This window comes from Homo sapiens, chromosome 19 (genome assembly GCF_000001405.40).
Source record: "Homo sapiens chromosome 19, GRCh38.p14 Primary Assembly".
In the NCBI taxonomy this organism is placed as follows: Eukaryota; Metazoa; Chordata; class Mammalia; order Primates; family Hominidae; genus Homo; species Homo sapiens.
This window is the reverse complement of record NC_000019.10, coordinates 22,197,847-22,214,747: the sequence shown is the minus strand read 5'-3', so window position 1 is coordinate 22,214,747 and position 16,901 is coordinate 22,197,847. Positions and strand designations below refer to the sequence as shown.

The 16,901-nt window shown below is 38.2% G+C and overlaps 1 protein-coding gene and 1 pseudogene across 10 annotated transcripts in view; one reads left to right on the top strand and one right to left on the bottom strand.

Moving 5' to 3' along the window:
- The window catches only part of ZNF676 (zinc finger protein 676), an 81,216-nt gene that overhangs the window by 45,557 nt on the left and 18,758 nt on the right, over positions 1–16,901 (top strand). The window lies entirely within an intron of this gene.
- On the bottom strand, positions 10,745–11,620 carry BNIP3P30 (BCL2 interacting protein 3 pseudogene 30; annotated as a pseudogene).

The window sequence follows — 16,901 nt, the reverse complement described above, 5'->3', positions numbered from 1 at the left end:
TTAATTTGTAACATGAAGATGGAAATTTCTTGGTTATGTAATCAGAGGTTAATTGGCAGTTTATAGTGTGTTAAGCCTGAATTTTTTTCCCCCAATGTAGTAATTTAAAAAAAATACATTTGAATTAGATTTTTTTTTTTTTTTTTTTTGAGACCAAGTCTCACTTTGTCGCCCAGGCTGGAGTGCAATGGCGCCATCTAGGCTAACTGGACTCTCCGCCTCCCAGGTTCAAGCGATTCTCCTGCCTCAGCCTCCCAAGTAGCTGGGATTACAGGCATGTGCCACTTGTATTTTTAATAGGGACGGGGTTTCACCGTGTTGGTCAGGCTGGTCTCGAACTCCTGATTTCAAGTGATCCACCCGCCTCGGCCTCCCAAAGTGCTGGGATTACAGGTGTAAGCCGCCACGCCTGGCCGAATTAGATTTTTTAAAAGTAGAAATTAGGAAATAAAGCCTCCTCAGTCTAACTGCCAGCCACTTAATTATTTTCACACCCCACAGGGAACTGCTGTTTCCTTGCATTTTTCACATGTGTCCCAAGCAGGGCCTCAAGTCTATCTGCCACCCCCTATTTCTCCAGCCTGACTCTGACTTGCAGTAAAATACTTAATTTCCAGTTCCTTCTGACATTCCCAAATGCCAGTTTCCCCTCCCTTATTCACATGATCAACTATTTGTCCTTTAGTGTACATTTTGATACCTATTGTAATCATTTTTTGACAAAGCATTTGATGGCACATTTAAAAAGATTTGTTTTCTGTTTGTAAATGTTTTTTTCTTCTAGTTTCCCTAGACACAGATATCTTATCAGAATGTTTTTTGGGTCAGGGTTTCCCTTTGGAAAAGTTATAGGGAGACGTGTCCTCAGCCACCCTTCAGTTTTTTCCTTGGACCTGAGATTCAGTACTGTCTGGGGAAAAACCAAGATACTGGCCATGGCTGTGTCTGCAAGAGTATCTAGTGAATATCAGCTCCTGGGTCATTTTCTCCCATAAGACAACCAGAGATATGGAGTGTAGCCTCTCATCTCCCATAAGACAACCAGAGGTATGGAGTGTAGCCTCTCATCTCCCATAAGACAACCAGAGGTATGGAGTGTAGCCTCTCATCTCCCATAAGACAACCTGAGGTATGGAGTGTAGCCTCTTATCTTTCATAAGACAACCTGAGGTATGGAGTGTAGCCTCTCATCTCCTGTAGGACAACCCGAGGTATGGAATGTAGCCTTTCAGGAGAGCAGGTGAATGCCCTGGGGCTGAGAGGCATCTACTGGTGCCCTGTTTTTTTGGAAAGCTAACCCCTTGAGGTATTAGTATTGTCTTTACCCAACCCAGCTTCCATTTCTTGGAGACACATTGCTGTTCAGACAATCAGATGCCGGTATTGAAGGGGAAACCAAAATAATTTTTGCCTCTGGATTCTCCTAGGGGACAGAAAAATAGTGAAAGAAAAATGGTAAAAAGTTTGTGGAAAAAAATAGCACTCCAAAGACAAAGAAAAAGAAACTGACCCCAGTGAGATGGTGCAAGAACTTGCAAAGTAAAATGTACCTGGGGCACTCACTGGGGCATAGTTCAGAGTCTCCTGAGAGAATGATTATTGAGCACTTAAGTGAACAGGATGGGGTGGCTGAATCTCTCAGTAATTGGATGACCTGACTTGACACATGAATCAGACATATCTCTACCTTGAAACGATTAAATGATTTGTTCACTTATTTTGACCTTAGTTTTTTTTCTTCTTCTTTTTTTTTGAGATGGAGTCTCCCTCTGTCGCCCAGGCTGGAGTGCAGTGGCATGATCTCTGCTCACTGTAACCTCCGCCTCCCGGATTAAAGCAATTCTTCTGCCGCAGCCTCCCAAGTAGCTGGGACTACAGGCGTGCACCCACATGCCTGGCTAATTTTTGTATTTTTGGTAGAGATGGAATTTCACCATATTGCCCAGGCTGGTCTCGAACTCTTGACCTCGTGATCCACCCACCTTGGCCTCCCAAAGTGCTGGGATTACAGACGTGAGCCACCGCACACGGACTTTTTTGTTTTAGACAGTGTTTTCCTCTGTCGCCCAGGCTGGAGTGCGGTGGTGCAATCTCGGCTCACTGCAACCTCTGCATCCCAAGTTCAAGTGATTCTCATGCCTCAGCCTCCCAAGCAGCTGGGACTACAGGTGCCCACCACCACACCTGGCTACTTTTTGTATTTTTAGTAGAGATGGGGGTTCACCATGTTGGCCAGGCTGTTTGAGCTCAAAATTCTGACCTCAAGTAATCTGCCTGCCTTGGCCTCCCAAAGTGCTGGGATTGCAGGTGTGAGCCACTGTGCCCGGCTGACCTCAGTTTTTTAACTGTAAATTGCATCTTATTAGTAGGGCTTGAAAGGTAAGAAAATATTTACAAAGGGCATAAAAAGGTGAGTATCAAAAAATAATATCTAATTATATATTTCATTTGTTGAAAATTCTCATTCACCTTTTTCTTTCTCAGAGTGAATTTAGGAGTTTTCTCAGGTGTGGTTTTCTTTTCTTTTCTTTTCTTTTTTTTTTTTTTTGAGACAGAATCTCGCTCTGTCACCCAGGCTGGAGTGCAGTGGTGGGATCTCGGCTCGCTGCAAGCTTCGCCTCCCAGGTTCACACCATTCTCCTGCTTCAGCCTCCCAAGTAGCTGGGACTACAGGCACCCGCCACCACACCCAGCTAATTTTTTTGTATTTTTAATAGAGACGGTGTTTCACCATGTTAGCCAGGATGGTCTTGATTTCCTGACCTCATGATCCACCTGCCTCGGCCTCCCAAAGTGCTGAGATTACAGGTGTGAGCCACTGCGCCCTGCCCTCAGGTGTGCTTTTTATAGCTGAGTGATTTCAAACAATTCCATCTAGCTTTTGGAATGTTTGGGAAAAAAATAAGAACATTTTTTCTTCCGTTTTGGCTATAGAGAATTAATATATTTCCACAAGAAAATGTGGTAGATAATTGGTGAGTTACATAGATTCGTGAAAACATCAGTTTCTTTTTTTGCAGGGTAAATTTGCAAAAGTAAGTATCTTTGTTCTATATCCTGTTATTTTGATTTCTGAGTTTAATGGTAAATTTTATGTGATGAAACTAGGTACCTCCTAGAAGTGTTCCCATATAACTGTTTACCTCATGATTTTTAATACAAAAAATAAAATAATGCTTTATTGTCCAAAAGAAATAAATACATTTGCTTCTCTTACTGAGGTACAAAAGGTAAGCACCTTAAAATTTTCTTATATGAACACTGTTTTTGAATCATTTTGCTGGATTTTTCAAACACTTAGTTTCAAAAACTAAGTGAATGACTCTGACATGTAATTAAAGCTTGAGCCCAATGACTGCAAGCTAAGGTTAATTTTGAGCTAGCAAACGGAGGTTATTAAAGGCCCATTTAGTTCCTTCTGGAAAGCCTTTCCTGCAGATGTCCCAGCCTGCTTACCGCAGCCATGGAAGAAGCCTCTATAGTGAGAGAAGCTACAGAGCCCTGGAAAGCTGGGGCCCCACAGGCAGATGCAGTTAAGGTTAAGATAGAAGGGGTTTGGGAGTGTCTTATTGAAGATAAAATTGTTACTGTTTTGAGGCAGTTTTGAGAGGTTTTAAAATAACCAGCTAGATGTACATTAAAAAAAAAAAAAGAATTCCAAAGGAGTATTGCAACAGGAGGAAGTACCAACTATAAGATCTTTAAGGATTATAAAGATTAGGTAGAAAAGGCCTTTTTTTCCTAGAGAAAACAAATAAGATTAGAAAGAAGGTGAGGGGAATATTTAAATGAAGGGTGAAATAATCAGATTTTAGATCAGAGAATGTTTTACCCTGAAGTCAGTGTGTTCTTAGGAGTGTTCTTCAGACACTGAATCTGCAGTAGCATAAAATGAGGTTGTATGGTGGCTCGGACTGAGAGTAGCTCAGAGTTCAGGAGCCTGTGGGAAGAAAATAAGTGAAGTTTGATTAAGAAGTATTTTATGTTGACCACTGAAGACAAATACAGCTGATTTTTTTAACGAGAAAAGAAAATATGCAGAGTGTTTTCCTGGCTGTGTAGTAGGTAAGAAAAGAGAGCACCATCTAAGTCACAATGGGAAGGGTGTTTCTTTTCATAAGTGTTCCTGGAGAACACAGAGGATAGAGAATTTTATTAATCCTAGCTGTTTGTTATCTATATGCTTCATCTTTTCCCACCTTTTTTCTTGGTTCTATACTTTTCTTCCATTTGACTTTTTGGGGGTTGTATATTTTATTTGAATCCAGTGAATATAACTACAGTGTTCTGCTGAGTTCTGTGAGTAGCTGTATCAGATTACTGAATTTCAAAAAGGTTATGGGAGTCCCCACTTTTTAAACAGTAGGTCAGAAGCATAGATGAGCCCATGGGGTTTGTGACTGGCATCTGCAGTGAGGACAATGTTGTGGGACTGAGCCCTGAATCAGGGTCTGTGCTGACTCTGGGTGGTGTCAGAATTCAAGTGTTAGACAATGAGTTGCTGTTGGAGAATTGTTGGTGTTCATCAAACTCTGCAGATTTGGTGCCAGAAGAAAGATATCACAGACTCCTGGCCTAGAATGAAACTCCGGGTGTCTGGGAATGGGAAGCTCTGCTCTCCTCTACACAGGCTGTCACACTGCCCCTTGTTCTTTGATTCCAGGTCTCCTCCCAGGGTGACAGAAGACTGAAAACTTAAAGGAGATCTGATGACAAACCCCCTTTTGCCACAGCTGCCAGCAGAGGATTTCCACCCACTCACAAACACCCACTAGACATTGATGTGTCCACACCCCTCTCTGGACAAGGCACCACCCTCAGGAATTTTACCACAGCATTTTTGATCCTAGTGGTTTTTTTGGCCAAAAACCTACAAAAGTGTCTACAAGTCTCCTGGCATATCCCTATTTTCAGACACGGAATCTGCAGTAGCATCCTGTTTTCTCCACCAGCCTAGGATTCATAATCTTATCTGGCTGCATGGACCCAGAAATGAATCAGAGTACAGCCCCACCTGGGCCACTATCTATAGCACAAACCAGTCCTTCCACCTGCATTGCACTCTCTCCAATCGAGGGATTTTTTTCTTTTAACTTTTATTTTTGGGTGGTTCAGGGGTACATGTGCAGCTTTGTTATACAGCTAAAATTGTGTCATGGGAGTTTGGTGTGGAGATTATTTTGTCACTGCAGTACTAATCATAGCACCAAAAATGTACTTTTTCTGACCCTTTTAGTCCTCCCACCCTCAACTAGGCCTCAGTGTCTTTTTTCCCCTCTGTGTTCATGTGTTCTTATTTATCTCTTACTTATAAATAATAACATGCATTTGGTTTTCTGTTTCTGTATCAGTTTTCTAAGAATAGTGATCTCCAGCTTCATCCATGTTGCTGCAAAGGACATACTCTTTTTTTTTTTTTTAATGGCCACACAGTATTTCATGATGTCATGATGTTTATGTACCATATTTGTTTGTTTGTTTGTTTTGATATGGAATCTCACTGTATCACACAGGCTGGAGTGCAGTGGCATGATCTCAGTTCACTGCAACCTCCACCTCCCGGGTTCAAGCAGTTCTGCCACAGCCTCCCAAGTAGCTGGGATTACAGGCGTGTGCCACCACACTCAGCTAATTTTTGTATTTTTAGTATAGATGGGGTTTTGCCATGTTGGCCAGGCTGGTCTTGAACTCCTGACTTCAGGTGATCTGCCGCCTTGGCCTCCCAAAGTGCTGGGATTACAGGTGTGAGCCACTGCACCCGGCCCATATTTTGTTTTTATTAGGTTTTTTATTTTTTGTTATTTTTGGAGACAGGGTCTCACTTTCTTTCCCAGGCTGCAGTGCAGTGGTGTGATCTTGGCTCGCTGAAACTCACCCACTCAGGCTCAAACAATCCTCTTCTATCTAAGCTTCTCAAGTAGCTAAGACTGAAGGCTTGTGCCACCATGCCTAGCTAATTTTTCTTTTTAATAGATGGGATTTTGCCATGTTGTCCATGCCGGTCTCAAACTCCTGAGCTCAGGCAATCCACCTGGCTCAGCCCCCAAAGTGCTGGATTACAGACATGTGCCATCATGCCCAACCATACCGTATTTTCTGTATCCAGTCTACCATTGATAGGCATTTAGGTTGATTCCATGTCTTTGCTATTGTGAATAGTACTGCAACGAATGTGATTGTGCATGTGTCTTTATGATAGAATAATTTATATATTTTTAGGTATAAACCCCGTTGTGAGGTTACTGGGTCAAATGGTAATTTTATTTTTAGTTTAGTGAGGAATCACTACACTGCTTTTCACAATGGTTGAATTATAATAATTGCCATTCTCACTGGTTTGAGATGATTTCTTGTTGTGGTTTTCTTTTGCATTTCTCTAACGATTAGTGATGAGCATTTTTTTATATGCTTGTTAGCCACATGTTTGTCTCCTTTTGAAGACAAACATCTTTTTCATGTTTTTTTTTTGGTCTTCTTTTAAGTTAGTTTTTTTTTTTCTTGTAAACTTGTTTTAGTTCTTACGGATTCTGGATAGTAAACCTTTGTCAGAAGCATAGTTTGCAAATATTTCCTATTATTTTGTAGGGTGTCTCTTTACTGTGTTGCTAGTTTCCTTTGCTGTGAAAAAAGATCATTAGTTTATTTAGGTCCCATTTGTCAACTTTTGCAATTGCTTTTGATATCTTCATCATGAAATCTTTGACAGTTTCTATGTCTAGAATGGCACTTCTTATCTTCCAGGGTTTTTTGTTTTTTTTTTTTTTATAATTTTTAAGATTAACATTTAAGTCTTTCATTTACCTTGAGTTGATTTTTTTATATGGTGTTATAAAAGGGTCCAGTTTCAGTCTGCTACATAGTGCTAGCTAGTTATTCTGGCACCATTTATTAAATAGGAAATTCTTCCCACATTCCTGTTGTCACCTTTGTTGAAGATCAGATGGTTTTAGGTGTGTGGCATTATTTCTGGGCTCCCTATTCTGTTGCATTGGCCTATGAGTTTGTTTTTGTACCAGTACCATGTTGCTTTGTTTACTGTAGCACTGTTGTGTAGTTTGAAGTCAGGTAATGTAATGCCTCCAGCTTTCTTGTTTTTGCTTATGATTGCCTTGGCTATTCAGGCTCTTTTTTGGTTCCATGTGAATTTTAAAATAGTTGTTTTTTTAGTTCTGTTAAAAAATATTTTGGTGGTTTGATTGAATTAGCATTACATCTGTAGATTTATTTAAGCAGTATGGCCATTTTTATGATAGTGATCTTTTTTATTCATGAGCATAAAGTGGTTTTCCATTTGTTTGTGTCATCTCTGGCTTCTTTAAGCATTGTTTTGTAATTCTTGTCATAGAGATCTTTTACCTTTCTGGTTATCTGTATTTCTAGATATGTTATTCTTTTCTGTGGCAGTTGTGAATGGGATTGTGTTTTCGATTCGGATTTGGCCTAGGTGTTCTTGATATATAGGGTTGCTACTAATTTTTGTACATTTCTTTTGTATCCTGAGACTTTACTGAAGTTGTTTGTCAGTTTAAAGAGCTTTTCTGCTGAGAGTATATGGGTTTCCAGATGTAGAATCATGTTGTTTGCAAATAGGGATAGTTTGACTTCCTCTCTTTTTGTTTGGATGCCTTTTATTTTTATCTTTTGCCTGATTGCTCTGGCTAAGACTGCCAATTTTATGTTGAATATAGGAGTGTTGAGAGAAGGCATCCTTGTCTTGTGCCAGTTTTCAAGAAGGAATGCTTCCAGGTTTTGTCCATTCAGTATTTTGGCTGTGGATTTGTCATAGATAACTTACTATTTTGACATGTATACCATCAGTGCCTAGTTTGTTGAGGGTTTTTAACATGAAAAATGTTAAATTTTATTGAAGGCTTTTTGTGCATCTATTGAGATAATCTTGTGATTTCTGTCTTTAATTCTGTTTATGTGATGAATCACATTTATTGATTCGTGTATGTTGAACAAACCTTGAATCCCCAAAATAAACCATAGTTGATCATAGTGGGTTAGGTTTTTGATATGCTGCTGGATTTGGTTTGCTAGTAGTTTGTTGAAGATTTCTTTTTTTTTTTTGAGATGGAGTCTCACTGTGTCATCCAGGCTGGAGTGCAGTGGTGCAATCTTGGTTCACTGCAACCTCTGACTCCCAGGTTCAAGTGATTCTCCTGCCTCAGCCTCTCAAGTAGCTGGGATTACAGGTGTGTGCTACCATGCCCAGCTAATTTTTTCCTGTTTTGAGAAGAGACGGGGTTTCATCATGTTGGCCAGGCTGGTCTTGAACTCCTGACCTCAGGGAATCAACCCACCTTGGCCTCCCAAAGTGCTGCGATTACAGGCATGAGCCACCGGGCCCAGCTGTTTGTTGAAGATTTTTGCATCAATTTTCAAGGATATTGGCCTGAAGTTGCCTTTTTCTGTTTTATCTCTGTTAGGTTTTGGTATCAGAATGATTGCTGTTCTTACATAATGAGTTGGGGAGGAGTTTCTTCTTTTTAATCTTTTGAAATTGTTCTGGTAGAAATAATATCAGCTTCTATTTGTACATCTGGTAGAATTCAGCTGTGAGTATGTTTGGTCCTGAGCTTCATTTAGTTGGTAGGCTACTTATTACTAATTCAGTTTTTTGAGCTTATCTATCTATTTAGGGCTTTGATTTTGTGTGTGTGTGTGTGTGTGTGTGTGTGTGTGTGTTGAGTTTTGGGAGGATGTATTTGTTCAATAATTTTTTTATTCTAGTTTTTTTTTTATGTGCATAGCAGACTTCAGTATATTTTTGTGGGGTCAGTGGTAATGTCTCTTTTTGTCATTTCTAATTGTGTTTATTTGTATCTTCATTAATCTAGCTCATAGTTTATTTACTTTTTTTAAATAGATTTAATGCCTGGATTTCTTGATATTTTGTAGTTTTTCATGTCTAAATCTCCTTCAGTTCAGATCTGATTTTGGTTATTTCTTGTCTTTTGCTAGCTTAGGGGCTGATTTGCTTTTGTTGCTCTCAGTCTTTTATTTATGATGTCAGGTTGTTAAACTGAGATCTTTCTAACTTTTTGATCTGAGGATTTAATGATATAAATTTTTCTTTTAACACTGCCTTAGCTGTATTGCAGAGATTCTGGTGTGTTGTATTTTTGTTCTTATTTGTTTCAAAACACTTCTTGGTTTCTGCCTTAATTTCATTATTTACCAAAAAAGTTATTCAAGTGTAGGCCATTTAATTTTTATTTAATTGTATAGTTTCCAGTTGTTTTATTGGTATTGAATTGTGTTTCTCTTAAGCTGTAAACTGTGTGTGTGCCTTGTATCGTTTTGGGATTTTTGAATTTGCTGAGAATTGTTTTTTTTCTGATTGTGTGGTCAATTTTAGAGTATGTGCCATGTGGTGATGAGAAGAATGTATGTTATGGTATTTTTTAGATGAAGAGTTCTGTAGATGTCTATTAGGACTATTTATTTGGTCAGGTGTTGAGTTCAGGTCCTAATATTGTTGTTGATTTTCTTCAATGATCTCTCCATTAGTGCCTGTGAGATGTAGTCCCCGATTATTACTGTCAGATTCTAAGTCTCTTCATAGGTCTCTAATAATTTGCTTTATTCATGTGAACCCATGGTTTTTTTTTATAACAATTTTCTCTCTTCTGCTTTTCCCCCCATAAACATTCTTTTAAGTGCACACAGTGTGCAAAATTCAGATGTCCAAGAGTTCAAGAACTTGTCCAGAGACCTGGCTTTTGTAAGAGAAAATATAAATGAGAAATAAGAGGCTTTATTCTCATATGTGAAAATAAGGGTGGATAACTTGCTGATTTTTAAAAAAAGGTTTAGATTATATGTATATATTTCTTCTGCTTTTTGAAATATATGTAAATCATATTAGAAATGAAACAAACCTTTTGTCATTCTTTTGACTCAGAATTGTCTTTATCTGGGACCTGAGATTCATTGCTTTCCTTTTTTCTTGGCAAAAGATTATATATATTTTTATCTTTAGTCTTTAAAGTAGACACAGATTTGTTGAGAGTAAAATTTATTTCAAGAGCCTAATAAAGTTAAGCACAAAGATCGGATTAATTTAGCAATACAGAATAATAAAGACTAAAAGATCCTGAGTAAGTTCTTTGGCAGAAACCCGATTATCCAAGGTGATTATTTGCAGGCTGAAATACTTACACTGCGAAAGCCAGAAGAGTTCAGTGTATAAACTGAACAGTGGAGTCTGTTGTACTTGGGTTGCTTCAGTACAGTTAGTATAGTTATGTGTAGTGTTTGTAGACAACCTGCATTCATGTAAATTAAACAGTATTTTCTAGAATAGTATAAATTTAAGGCCACAATATTTACTTTGATTGAATTCCTTATTTTAATATTGTTATTCATACTTTTGAAATATAGTGTTTCAACTGAATTATAGTTCAGATAATTTTAAAAAATCTTACATACATTATGACTAGTACATAAAATTATTCATACTTATATATTCATATCTGCTATCCCAAAAATTTTACCATTAAATTGTTACAGTAGATGTTAGTCTGACATGCTTATTAATTTACCCAATAGGAAAAATTATAGGTAGGCATAATTTTAGTGTCATATATTTTACCAAATTAGTATGCTGCTATTACAGGATAAATAAAGACAGGTGATATGGCTACTCAAAAACTGTAATAGCTCTCCAGTTAGGTATGTTGCAAGCTCTAATATATTCTACTATATTAACACAGTCAGATTTCAATTTTTTATAAAAAAGTGCTGGTGGAAGTTGTCAGATATATTCCAGTGTAGATCTCACATTCAATGGTTAGGAAATAAGAGAGCAGCAGAGATGGAAGATAAATCTTTTAAAATTCTGCTGAGAGCTAGGCGCTGTGGCTCATGCCTGTAATCTCAACACTTTGGGAGGCCAAGGTGGGTGGATCACCTGAGGTCAGGAGTTTGAGACCAGCCTGGACAACATGGTGAAACCTCGTTTCTACCAAAAATACAGAATTAGCCAGGTGTGGTGGTGTGTGTCTATAGTCCCAGCTATTTGGGAGGCTGAGACAGGAGAATCGCTTGAGCCCAGGAGGCAGAGGTTGCAGTGAGCCAAGATCATGCCATTGCACTCCAGCCTGGGCAACAAGAATGAAACTCCATCTCAAAAAAAAAAAATTGTGCTGAGAATATACCCCCTTTATTCAATAATGCTCATGTTTCTCTTGCTGAGAGTAGCTATGCACTTTGGGTGTTTGGAGAGAAATTCTTCTTAGGGAAATATTTTCTGGCTGACTTGATCAATCTTATATCTAATCTCAGTTTTTTCTTAAGACACTTTTAACTTTTTTCTCTCAATATAATCTTTCTCAGAATAAGAGCTGTTTTTCTCTCTAATGCATTGTGTATCTGTTTCAGAAGCCCTATTAGTATTCCGTGGTGTCTGTGAAAGACGTGGGCTGTCACAGTGAGAACTCTCAGAGCTATCTCTATCTGGACTCATGCTAAAATCCAGCAGTATTTTTTTCATGCCGCCATTATAAATAAAAACTGAGGCTGAAACAGTGCTCCCTTTTCTATTATTGTGAAGGTGCAATTCTACCCAGGAGGCCTGCAGGCTCTCCTCCTGCTGCTCAGGCTTCACTGTCTGATGTGGCACTGGAGTGCTGCTGTGGCAAATGGGGTTCACCTAAGATGTGAGTTTCCAGCTGTGAGCCCTGTGCTGTGGGCTGTGCCTCAGTGGCAGATGGTGGGGTCAAGAGAGTACACTAGCCACCAAGAGAGGGAAAGCAGGAGTGTTCTAGCCCAGTGCTCAGAGAGTAGAGAGCTATTGCTTTAAAATGTAAATAGCCAAAAAGATAGCACCCGAATCAACACTTTTTGTAGAAGAGTCAAAGCCTACCTTCAGCAGGCCCTGGGGTTCAAGTTGCAAAACTACCTCTAGTCATGAAGATGTGAAAGCTTTACTTTGTCATTGATTATAACCAGTTAGCATACAGGGATGGCCTTCCCAGCTACCAGATGAATTCAGGATGAACTATGTATGACATGGTGCTGTAAATTCTACTTGTAGATGAATTATGGTGACTGTCTTTCTGTCTTTGCAATCTCTTGAGCAAATTGACTGTAATGCATGTCACATTCACATGTAATTGTGTAATAAAACAGTTTTCTTTCTGTTCTGTTATTATTTAATTCCTCTGGGGCTGAAGAAAATTTTGCTTCTAACTGTATTTTCCAAACCTTGTCTAGAATTACCAGACATAATATAAACACATAGGGTACCAACTAAGCTTTACTATAGATGGGCCTTTTCCACTCAGGCTTCCAGTCCATTCACAATTGTGCTGCGAAGTGCATGCTGTACCCTAAATATGCAGGTGGAATTGTGTCTCTGCCTACTTGGTATCTATCATCCTCTGCAGTCACTTTTAGAGAGGCTAGAACAGATTTCTACAAACTTTATAGGTCAGATATTAACCGTTTTACCTCTTTCAATGACTTGTGTCTTCAGACCTGAAACTGATTCAGTGACCATGGGGCACAGAAACCCAATCAGAGTAAAATATGTGCATTGAGTAGACCTGTAGACGTGAGAATCCAGTTCTCCCTCCCTCCTCATGCTATAATGCCCACAAATATTCAGATACCACCTGCTGCTACTTTACCCATGCAGGACCTGAATTTGCAGCTCCAAATTCTAAATCTAGGTCTTGAGAATTGAAAAGAAAAAAAAAAGTTTTTATCTGAGGAATGCAAGTCCTTTTAGTTATCAAAGTCAGAGAGCCATTAAAATGAGCACAGTTATGTTTTTCTCCCTTTTCTTCAGCTATGTATTTATCTCTTGAAACTGTTCACTATTGCCACAAGTAGCTTTAAATTAGACCAATAATTCCACTCTGGACACTAAATTCCATACCCTTAACCTTGATGTATATGCAATCAATTATTAAAGTTATTTCTTTACATAAGTAAAATTTCTCACAACCAATTTCGTATCAGCTCATTCACTGTACCTCTTTTTTTTTTTTTTTTTTTTTTTTTTTGCCTTTACAAATCCACTTGTAAGTGCTGCTAATGAAAGTGTAGATTCCAGGCAACTTGAATATTTTGTCTCAAGTTAAAATCCTTAAGCTTGACCCAAATAAACTGTCTGCTTATGTTCATGTTGTGTCAGCTTTTTTCAGGTAAAATATTATTTAGAATGTTCTAGAGCAGCCTCTAAGAGGGGATCTCTCCTTTCATTTCACTTTACTTGCTGTAACACCCAAAAATGCAGAGTGAGGTTGATTTCACCTAGAATTTGTAAATAAGACCTGGCCTCTGCCTGGAATTTACAAGGCAAAGCCAGACTTTGGATTGAGAATTTACAGAAAACCAACAGGAGGCATTTTCTGCATTGTGAGATATCAACATAGACATTTTAATTTCCTTTTTTGAGAGTGTGGCCTTTTGACCTTTCACATCTTCATTAACCTGCCCCAGTTATGTGAGAGGCTCCAGGAGTAAATAGAATCTGATGGCAGAATCTGTAAGTGTAAACAATCATCTTAAGGCCACAAAGTATCCAGAGCCACACCACAACTATACCTACTTGTAAAATGTGATACTGGAGTAGAGTATTCTTGTCCTTCTACTTACCCAACAGCTAGCAAATCAGGACAGGCAACCCAGATTCTGGAGTTCAGCCAAAGTAGTTCCATTTTTTATTTAGAATCATCCTGAGTCTTCTCTGTCTGTCTTATCATTGGACCATCAGCCCAGGTTCACTGGGAACCCTCTCACAATCACCTACGAATCTCTGAGACATTTGAGAATGTCCAGAACAGATCCCTGGTACTTGAGTAAAAAATCAGGAGGTCTGGAGGCTCAAAGAGATAAACTAATTGCTTCAATTTCATATAGTCATAAAAAAAAATAGAAGAAGCAGGCTGGGTGCAGTGTCTCATACCTGTAATCCCAGTACTTTGGGAAGCCAAGATGGTGGATCACCTGAGGTCAGGAGTTCGAGACCAGCTTGGCCAACATGGTGAAATAGGGATTTCACCATATTGAATAATATTGAATAATGTGTTGAATAAACCAACATATTTTAGCCAGGTGTGGTGGCTCATGCCTGTAGTCCTGGCTACTTGGGAGGCTGAGGCAGGAGAATCTCTTTAACCTGTTAGGTGGAGACTACAGTGAGCCGAGATCACACCATTGCACTCCAGCCTCCGCAACAAAGTGAGACTCAGTCTCAAAAAAAAAAAAAAAAAAAAATTGATGAAGCAGTCATGATTCCTACCATCCTGGAAGTTTTAGTCTAAACTAACAACTGGAAAAATGGTTGAATTATGCATCATATGGTGGGTACAATAAATAGATGTGCAAAAAACAACTTGGGCTTTATTTGAGCCACTTTCTTTATATTGTGGTTTCTGATGTCTACACCTGAACTTATAATTGGAAGAGTTGTTATTATTATTTGTAGTTCTTTTACCCTGCTAAGAATACTTATTTTTCTTCTAAAAAAATTATTATAGAAAACCTTAAGGGATTTTTTTTTAAATTTCTTATTAGTATGTAATATAAAATTTACAGGGCAGTGGCTAAAAAAGATTAAAATTATACAAACTCAGATTTAAGTTTACTTAAGTAAGATTTAAAAAAAAAGAACTTACAATACCCCCCAGTGCCATAGAGAACAGAATTGTACATTGGCTCTACACTCTGCCCCAGCCCTGTTCATATTCACCCTTTTTGGAGGCCTTATTTATGTCTGGCCCTACCCTGGAGTCTTGCCTCAAAGAACTGATTAGAAGAGATCAGAGTTTTGGGTCATGAATACTGTTGCCTTTTTAGAGCTGGTGTTCAACATTTTCTGAGACTTAAAAGCAGATAAATGGGAAATATAAAGTATGTATTATAGAATCTTACTTTACAAATTTTTAATTAAAACCAGTGCTTGCAGAGACATTATTTAGCAACTTGTTTTCTGTTCCTGCAGCTGATTTCTGTTTTCTGTTCTGTTTTCTATTCTTTGCAGTTGATTCACAAGTCACAAGAAAGTAAATATAAACACAATAAAAATTTATCTAAATTTTATTAAGCTCTTTCCATCTGTATCCCTTTCATCTGTCTATAGTTAGCTTTTATTCTATGCATTTTTTGAAAAATCAATGACAGATAAACAAATAGAAATAAAAATGCTGGGTCCTTTAAAGCCTTGGAATTATTGAACACTTAGTATCAACTGAAAGGGTGTTATTAGGATTAAATCACATAATGTGCTATCACAGTACTCTAACATCCTATTGAGCACATAGTACCTGCTTAATAAACATTGCATTAGTACATGTGCACACGTTGTTTTCCAAATGCTGACTTACTCAGAAATTGCTGCTTTCTGTTTTCTCTGTAAATTTTAAAGAGTCAGCAAATAATATAATACTTTAGGATGAAGAATGATTGTTTTCATTTGTACCAGAAGTATCTGTGTTCTGCCTCATTTCTCTAATTAATGCTAATAATAAGCCCAGTGGGAGCAACATCATTATTGACAGCGCACTTGTTTAAGTGACCCATTTATGGACCCTTTCCATACCTGCAGAATTACATTTCATAGAGTGGGGCCAAAATTACCAAGTCATTTATAAGCTCCTTAGAGCTTGAGAGGAAATGCTTAGTTAAGGGGTTATCAGCCCAGGCTTCTAATTAGTATCACCTGGCCATTTTGCAGAACTCTCTTTACTTGTGCCCTTTCCATGGATTCTGTTTATTGTTCTTGGTGGAAGCATTCATGTTGTTTTAATTAAGTGGCTCATGTGACTCTAAGGTGAGGCCAGAATCAAGTATGAGGAATTCATAATACATTCATGAGAGTTAAGTTCCATCTTTGCATTAAAGGGTGGTCCAAGAACCTGTTCTGTTTGGATTTGGTAGGGACAGTACACCGTGGCCCATATTTACATTACTGTGGCAGAAATTGCTGGTGCCTGTGTCAGGGGATGGCTCCTGAGGACAAAATAAAGAAAAGCATATTTTTATCTCTGTGGAGCTACTCATTGTTTCTTCATCTCTTCTGCTATAAAGGACAGAAATGGATGGAGTTTTTCTGTCTTGGTTCTTCTGCCTGTGGATGTGGTGACAGCAGGTAGACCTGTGGTGCTGACACTTTTAAAGGCATATTCTCAAGATGCAGGTGTAATTTGTCTAGAAAATTTTATCTGAGAAAGAATCCTAGGGAAGGAGGAGAAAGAGAAAAAAATGGCCTTTTCTTTTTCACCTAAACATGTCTGAGATCAAGATCTGTGTCCACTATTCTTCCTCCAGGAAACATACGTTTAGTACTTGCAAACCTGTACTTCTGTGTACCTGTGTTTTTCCTCCCTAATGAGTTTGTCTTAACTGCTTTAAAAAATTCTTACAATAATCAAAGTCTCTGAAAAATATATTTTTTTCTATATACCAGAGCTTTCTCTATATTATGGCTTCTTATATGCCATGCAGAAATCTCACTATGAATTTATAATCTGCAATATTAAAAATGTCCCTTTGTGGCTGTTGAACATGGGAAAGTGTAGATACTCAAAATTCATATTGGGGAAAACCTGGGGTTTTTAGTGAAGACAGAGAACATGTAATGTTGTGGTTTCATCTGTGTTCTTTATTATGTCTATGCAGTACAAGATTAAGAAAACACTCATTGAAGCAGTGTGGTATTTATTACCCAGAAAATTCTAAAAAAAATTGTTAGGAGATACCTGCTCTCTCAGTGCTGAAGAAATACTATTTAAAATCACTACTAAAAGTTACAGAACATGGGAGATATCTCTATCTTGAACTTTCCATAAAACTAATGTTTCCTTATGGTTAAATTCAGACTATAATTTACCTTTCAGAGGGGGGGCAATATCTCAGCAGTAATACTGTGTCCTTCTGGGTACATC